Raw genomic sequence first — 7,857 nt, 5'->3', positions numbered from 1 at the left:
ATATGTATATATACTATATATACAATCTAAATATACAATCATGTCTTCTTCAAACAGGGAATACAGCTTAAAAGGGATGTGAAGGATCTCTTCAAAGAGAACTACAAACCAGTGCTCAAGGAAATAAGAGAGGACACAAACAAATGGAAAAACATTCCATGCTCATGGATAGGAAGAATCAATATCGTAAAATTGCCATACTGCCCAAAGTAATTTATAGATTCAATGCTATCCCCATCAAGCTACCACTGACTTTCTTCACAGTATTGGGAAAAACCACTTTAAACTTCATATGGAACCAAAAAAGAGCCCACATATCCAAGACAATCCTGGGCAAGAAGAACAAAGCTGGAGGCATCACGCTACCTGACTTCAATTTATACTACAAGGCTACAGTAACCAAAACAGCATGGTACTGGTACCAAAACAGAGATATAGATCAATGGAACAGAACAGAACAGAGGCCTCAGAAATAACACCACACATGTACAACCATCTGATCTCTGACAAACCTGACACAAACAAGCAATGGGGAAATGATTCCCTATTTAATAAATGGTGTTGGGAAAACTGGCTAGCCATATGCAGAAAACTGACACTGGACCCCTTCCTAACACCTTACACAAAAGTTAACTCAAGATGGATCAAAGACTTAAACATAAGACCTAGGACCATAAAAATCCTAGAAGAAAACCTGGGCAATACCATTCAGGACATAGGCATGGGCAAAGACTTCATGTCTAAAACACCAAAAGCAATGGCAACAAAAGCCAAAATTGACAAATGGGATGTAATTAAACTAAAGAGCTTCTGCACAACAAAAGAAACTAGCATCAGAGTGAACAGGCAACCTACAGAATGGGAGAAAATTTTTGCAATCTATCCATCTGCCAAAGGGCTAATATCCACAATCTATAAAGAACTTAAACAAATTTACAAGAAAATAAAAAAACAACCCCATCAACAAGTGGGCAAAAGATATGAACAGACACTTCTCAAAAGAAGACATTTATGCAGCCAACAGACACAGAAAAAATGCTCATCACTGGTCATTAGAGAAATGCAAATCAAAACTACAATGAGATACCATCTCACACCAGTTAGAATGGTGATCATTAAAAAGTCAGGAAAGAGATGCTGGAGAGGATGTGGACAAATAGGAATGCTTTTACCCTGTTGGTGGGAGTGTAAATTAGTTCAACCATTGTGGAATACAGTGTGGTGATTTCTCAAGGATCTAGAACCAGAAATACCATTTGACCCAGCAATCCCATTACTGGGTATATACCCAAAGGATTATAAGTCATTCTACTGTAAAGACACATGCACACATATGTTTACTGAAGCACTGTTCAGAATAGCAAAGACTTGGAAGCAACCCAAATGCCCATCAATGATAGACTGGATAAAGAAAATGTGGCACATATACACCATGGAATACTACACAGCCATAAAAAACGATGAGTTCATGTCCTTTGCAGGAACATGGATGAAGCTGAAAACCATCATTCTCAGCAAACTATCACAGGAACAGAAAACCAAACACTGTATGTTCTTACTCATAAGTAGGAGTTGAACAACGAGAACACATGGACACAGGGAGGGAAACATCACACACTGGGGCCTGTTGGGGGGTGGGGGGCTAGGGGAGGGATAATATTAGGAGAAGTATCTAATGTAGGTGATCGGTTGATGGATACAGCAAACCACCATGGCACTTGTATACATATGTAACACAACTGCACGTTCTGCACATGTACCCCAGAACTTAAAGTATAATAAAAAAAAAGGAAAAAATAAAAATAAAATTAAAAATGTTAGTTATGTTAACATTTAATGGGTTTTATGTTAACATTATTCTTCTTTTAAAATGAATTAATAAGTATTTTTTAAACTTCTCAATTTTAACTTCTAATGTGGTAAATATCAATAGCTGTATATAAACTAAAGTTCTTTGGGGTCTCCAGTAATTTTTAAGTGTATAAAGAGGTCCTGAGTTCAAAAGTTTGAGAATTTCTAATTTAATAAACCAAGCAAGGGTAAATTATATTACTTGAATTTTTCCAACAAGCATATAGTCATGTATAAGTTGTGTAATTAAAAAAGAAAAAAGTGAATGGGCACCATTTATTCATTAGAAAAAATTGTAAAGTGGGGCCTTGAGATGTGACTACTTCATATCGCATCAAGGATTGGTCTGACTTGAATTGTTCCACCACCAAAGACTGGCATGAGTAACACTAGCACTGGGGTTATCAAAGAGTGACATTGAGGCTCATGTTACCTAAATTAGTATCTCAGTTCCCAAACCTGCTCCTTCTGTGTCCATCTTAGTGATGGGTACCACCGCCAGGAGCCTAGGCTGGAAACCTGGCTTCCTCTTACATGCCCTCCCCTTAATTTCTGCCAGATTTACTGTTGCTAGCTCCTTTGACAGCTCTGGCTCCATTCCTCTTTACTGCAACAGCCGCTGATCAGGACAGCCATTATCTCATGTGTGGAGATGGCCCCCATGTCTTCACTGGTCTCATGGCCCCTCCAGTCCCCTCCATCATGGCTCCGTGCTGCTCCTGAGTAATCTTTCTCTTACACAAATCTGGTGATGATCCACCTCCTTCAGCCTTCTTTGTGCCATAAATGACCCTTCCTAATACAGCCCCTGAGGACCTAACCAGCCTCACACCTCTCCAACTTTATCCTCCACCATGAAGCGCTCTTTGTATGTTTCCAAACCCACCATGTACAGTGGGGCTTAGGGGCTTTTCCACATGGGGGTTGAAGATCCCTCAGCCTGGAATGCATTTCCTTCCACTTGTCTATCTGATAAACTCCATACTTTGTCTCAAAACAAAAACTTTCTTCTTCTGAAGGAAACCTCAACTCCTAGAAAGGCCAGGTACAGAGTTAAGCACAGAATAAATATTTTTTAAGTAAATAAATGAATCCCTTATTTGAACAAAGAAAAATCATTTGTGGTGTCTGTTAAATGTCCTCACATAATGAACTTAACCAATAATCACCGTCCTAAAGGACGAATGGTTTCACTCTAGGACCAGGCCTTATAGTATGCTCTGTAGGGTAGAGATGAGGACTAGGATGAATGTTCATTGAGCTCAGTTCTTGACCTAGAAGTTATTTCTCTCCTACTATATCTCTAATATCAACTGTTTTCTTGTCTTTTTCTTATTTTTCTTAAAAATGGAATTATAGGACAAGATTGAGATAATTTGTGGTTCTAATAAATTGGTATCTGGTTCATCGGTTCTGTCATTTTAAGATTAACAATACAATATTTATAAAGCTTTTATCTGGTATAAATAATGCATGAATATTATTCTCATCACTTTCTCATTAAAAATAGTACTTCTTTATAACATTAATTCTGGCAGCATCTTCTTTGTAGTGTCAATATAAAATAGGATGGGTTGTCCATAGAGTCTTTGCCTGATTAAAATAGACTGTGATCCTTATTTTTTATTAATAGAGGAAACTTTACAGAAAGAAGAAAATATATTGAAATAAACCATGTCAAGCACCTAAATCAGGATGTGTCTCATGGTAGTGAACAATAAATGCTGTCCTTCTTCCTTCTACCATTAAAGCTAAATTCAGCAAGACTAAGCCTAGAGCTTTCAGCATGGCAAGTAAGTCCCTACAGATTTGATCCCTGCCCACATCTGAAATCTGCAACTCTCTCTGTGAAACTTTACATTGCAGCAATATAATCTGCCAGTAGTTCTTGGATAAATGGTTTTATGCTGTTTCTCATTTATTTGTCTTTACTCATCTGATTCCCCTGCTGGGAATGCTCTTGGCTCATCTAACTCCTTCCCGTCCTGCCTGACTCAGAGCGGGTGTCACCTTCTCTGGAAACACCTCCAATCCTTCTCAGCTTGGATCAGCTGTTCCACCTTGGAACTCCCACAGGACCTTTGGCTTATCTCTATCATGGCCATTTGACCCTGCACAGAACCTGACCTTGCATATCTTAGTTTCCTCATCTGTAAAATGGAATAATAATAGTCTCAACTACACAAGGCTATCAGGATAATTACTCAAGATAAATGCAAAGTGCTTAGGATAGTGCTTGTGTTATATTAATCACACCCTACATTTCTAGCTCTTGTATTTATTTTGGTAGCACTTACCGCATTGAAAATGCCTGTGCTCTTATCACAGTATATGACTATGTCATTTCTCTGTTTCTAAGAAACTACCAGACCTCCTGGTTACTAGCAAGAGCTCTGTAAACTGAACAAATGCTTTATATCATTCAGAAATCTATTGTCTATTAATGTACATGCATAGATTTATATCATAGTAGTCATCAGAGAACAGTATTCCACATTTTGATTTTACTTTACATCAACAACACTTGTTATTTTTAGCAGCTCTATTTATATTTATTTATTTTTTCTTTATATTTTTACAATTGGTTGTATTATAAACATATTTGGCATTAATAAATAAATGTTTCCTTTGGGAGGCTGAGGCGGGTGGATCACTTGAGGTCAGGACTTCAAGACGTGCCTGGCCAACATGGTGAAACCCCGTCTCTACTAAAAATACAAAAAATTAGCCAGGCATGGTGTCATGTGCCTGTAGTCCTAGCTACTCAGGAGGCTGAGGCAGGAGAATTGCTTGAACCTGGGAGATGGAGGTTGCAGTGAGCTGAGATTGCACCACTGCACTCCAGCCTGGGCTACAGAGCAAGACTTCATCTCAAATACATGCATACATACATACATAAAATGTTTCCTTATGGCAGCAAGAATGGTTTGGTCAAAATATATAAACACCTTGAAAGAGATCAATACATTGACCTCCAAAGAGACTAGGCTGATACACGATTTCTCATGAACCTATTTCTTCACAGACTTGTCATCATTGGATGTTATCACTATTTGGTTACTTTAATGGAGATATAATGGTACTTCTGAGTTATTTGCCTTTTTAAATTAGTAGCAAGGGTGGACATTTTATCATGTGATGAGGTACTTTGTTTTTTCCCATCAGCAACAAGACACCTATTCATTTTTTACTACATTCAAAGTGGAAAACAAATAGTAACGTTATATATTTCCATCAAGCCTTTACACTTCTTTGATATAAAATTTCCCCAATCTTTCCCCTTTCTCTTTACTGTGTATCTTACAGCATTTTCTACTCCCATTGATTTCTGTTCATGAATAGTAGTACCCTTGGAGTCATGCAACACAGAAACCCAGACTTTCAAGCTGCCATATGACGGTCCTCAGTAGTATTTGATTATGCTAATTTGTGTATTTCAAGCTTATTTTTGACAGATTGTTTTTAAACAGTTCATTCCTTGACTCATCATGAATCTATTCTAGTGTACAGCTCAAAGTTCATTCTTTTCCCTAGTGATATCCAATTTCCTCAAAATGCTGATTGAATAGTCATTCTTTTCCCTATTGTGATGCTGTTTCTGGAACGTTATAAAGTTCTTACACAATTTGGAATTTCCATCATTTCTGTTCTAGTGCACTGATGAATCTTTTAAATTTCAAGCCATATGATTTTTGACCACAGTTACTTTTTATCATGCTTTGCAGTCTGTTTACAGTGAAAAGGGCATTATTACTAATCTAAAATGGTTTTAGTTTCAATGTTTATTTCCCCCATTTCATCCTTCGAGGGTGAAGAAGTGAGAACCGAGAGCTGGAGAAGTTAGGGAACCTTAACGTTCCTTCCCATCCTAAGAATTAGGAAGCCTGTGATGGTACGGAGCAGACATCAGAAGCTGGCTGCCTGATCTGGCTTACAGTCTTGTTCTGTTTGTCCTACACAGCTGCTATTATTTTGGTTTGCTTTGACTGTGAATGTCTTTGGGTAAAACATGCCTGTTGCAGCTTTCTACAATCCCCACCAATTTCTGTGATCTTACACTTGGGCTGCTTATCTCAGTTTGGTTACCTGCCTGATACCTGGATTTATTTGAGCTTGCAACCCCTGGCATAGTGTGTCTTAATGCTTCCTTAGTTGTAAAATTGGAATAATACCATATCTCATCAGGTTGTTGAAAGGATTACATGAGCTAACCTATAACCATTGCCCACTGGGAGAAATGTTTTACTCCAACAAATTTCCTGTCTTTCTCTACTCGCCCCTGCAGAACAATGATAACTTTGGGTTCTCTGAAGGCAGTGGACGGATCTTGGTGATATTTTCACTCTCACCCATTGCACAGTGCCTGGTACACAGCAGGGGCTCACTAAATATTGGCTAAAATCTGTTGGAATAACTATTACCAGTAGCATCATCTCTGCTTTCAAAATGATTTTTTGTAAAAAAAAAAAAAAAATAGAATGTTAAGAATATGGATATATGCATGTCAAGTGCCCAGGGACCAAACTGTACATATAAGGACCTCGAGTCCCACTTTAAAAGGGCCCACACTCAAGGTCGCCATACCCCAAATACCTGCCCAGATTCTTATGGCCAGTCCCTTGTCATTGGTCAAGGATCTGTTAGAGTATATTGAATTGCTAGCCATGACAGTGCTCATGATAAACTGGTTTCTGCTTTAACTTGGCCTTAATTAACAAATACACTCATTAAATAATGCCTGCTCACCCTATATTCACCTGTATTTAGTCCACCTGGCTCCAGTAGCTATGTCTCCTGTTCAGATAGAAGAACTCATTGTCAAATGAGGATCTAAGTTGTAAAAATGCTCTGCTTTCTAAATTATAAGTAGAGTCAGATCACTAGAATCATCAACAGATATTAAGCTCTATCCATCTATATCTATTTTAAATGATGCCCAAGAAGCCAGGATTTACCTCATATCCTGAGGCAATGCTGCTAAAATGTTTTCGGTCGATTAAATAATACAAATATAGAGAAGTCTTTATTTTACTTAATGAAGAAAGCATTTTAAGATTTATAATATACTGAATTGAACTAACCCATTATTAGCAGTCCTATTACATGAAGCATTATAAAAACGGTCAATAGATATTAGACAAAAATAACAAATAAAGTCCATTATTGTTACCCACAGCCCCAGCATCATGATTAGTGATGATGAACCAGGTTATAACCTAGATTTATATCATATACCTCATCATTACACTGAGGATTTGCAAAAGGTTTTATTCCTCATGGACTGATTGTGAACAGGACCAAACGACTTGCCTGAGATGTGATGAAGGAGATAGGAGCCTCTCACATTGTAGCCTTCTGTTTGTTCAAGGGGGGTTGTACTTTTTTTGCTGACCTGCTAGATAACATCAAAGCACCTGAATAGAAATAGTCATAGAGCCATTCCTATGATAGAGCCAATACAGAGCAAGGAGCTACTGTAATGACCAGTCAACAGGGGATATAAAGGTAATTGGTGGCGATGATCCTTCAACTTTAACTAGAAAGAATGTCTTGATTTTTGAAGATGTAATTGACACTGGCAAAACAATGCCAACCTTGCCTTCTGGGTCAAGTACTATAATCTAAAAATGGTCAAGGTTTGCAAGCTCGCTAGTGAGAAAGCACCCTTCAGAGTGTTAGAAATAGGCCAGACTTTGTTGGATTTGAAATTCCAGACAAACTTGTTGCAGGATATGCCCTTTTCTATTGTCAACCAAAATTAAGGCTGTCGAGGCAAAAATAATTTGATTAAGGTTTAATGGAAGCCAAACGTGAGGATCAACCCGGGAAGATACAGCGAAAAAGTTGGGCATATTCCAAAGTTTGTTTACAAGTTAGAACGCTTCTATAAGAAAGTTTAGGAGAAGGGAAGGGGACTCCTCACATTAGAATTGTCTTTTTTCACTGGAGGATACAATACAGAGGTTTCAATCATTGGCTACATGTTACAACATAAAGGCAAAAATG

The 7,857-nt window shown here is 37.9% G+C and overlaps 1 pseudogene; it reads left to right on the top strand.

The window, feature by feature from the left end:
- Positions 7,008–7,597, top strand: HPRT1P3 (hypoxanthine phosphoribosyltransferase 1 pseudogene 3; annotated as a pseudogene).

This window comes from Homo sapiens, chromosome 11, assembly GCF_000001405.40.
Source record: "Homo sapiens chromosome 11, GRCh38.p14 Primary Assembly".
In the NCBI taxonomy this organism is placed as follows: domain Eukaryota; kingdom Metazoa; phylum Chordata; class Mammalia; order Primates; family Hominidae; genus Homo; species Homo sapiens.
This window is presented reverse-complemented; position numbering and strand designations above follow the sequence as displayed.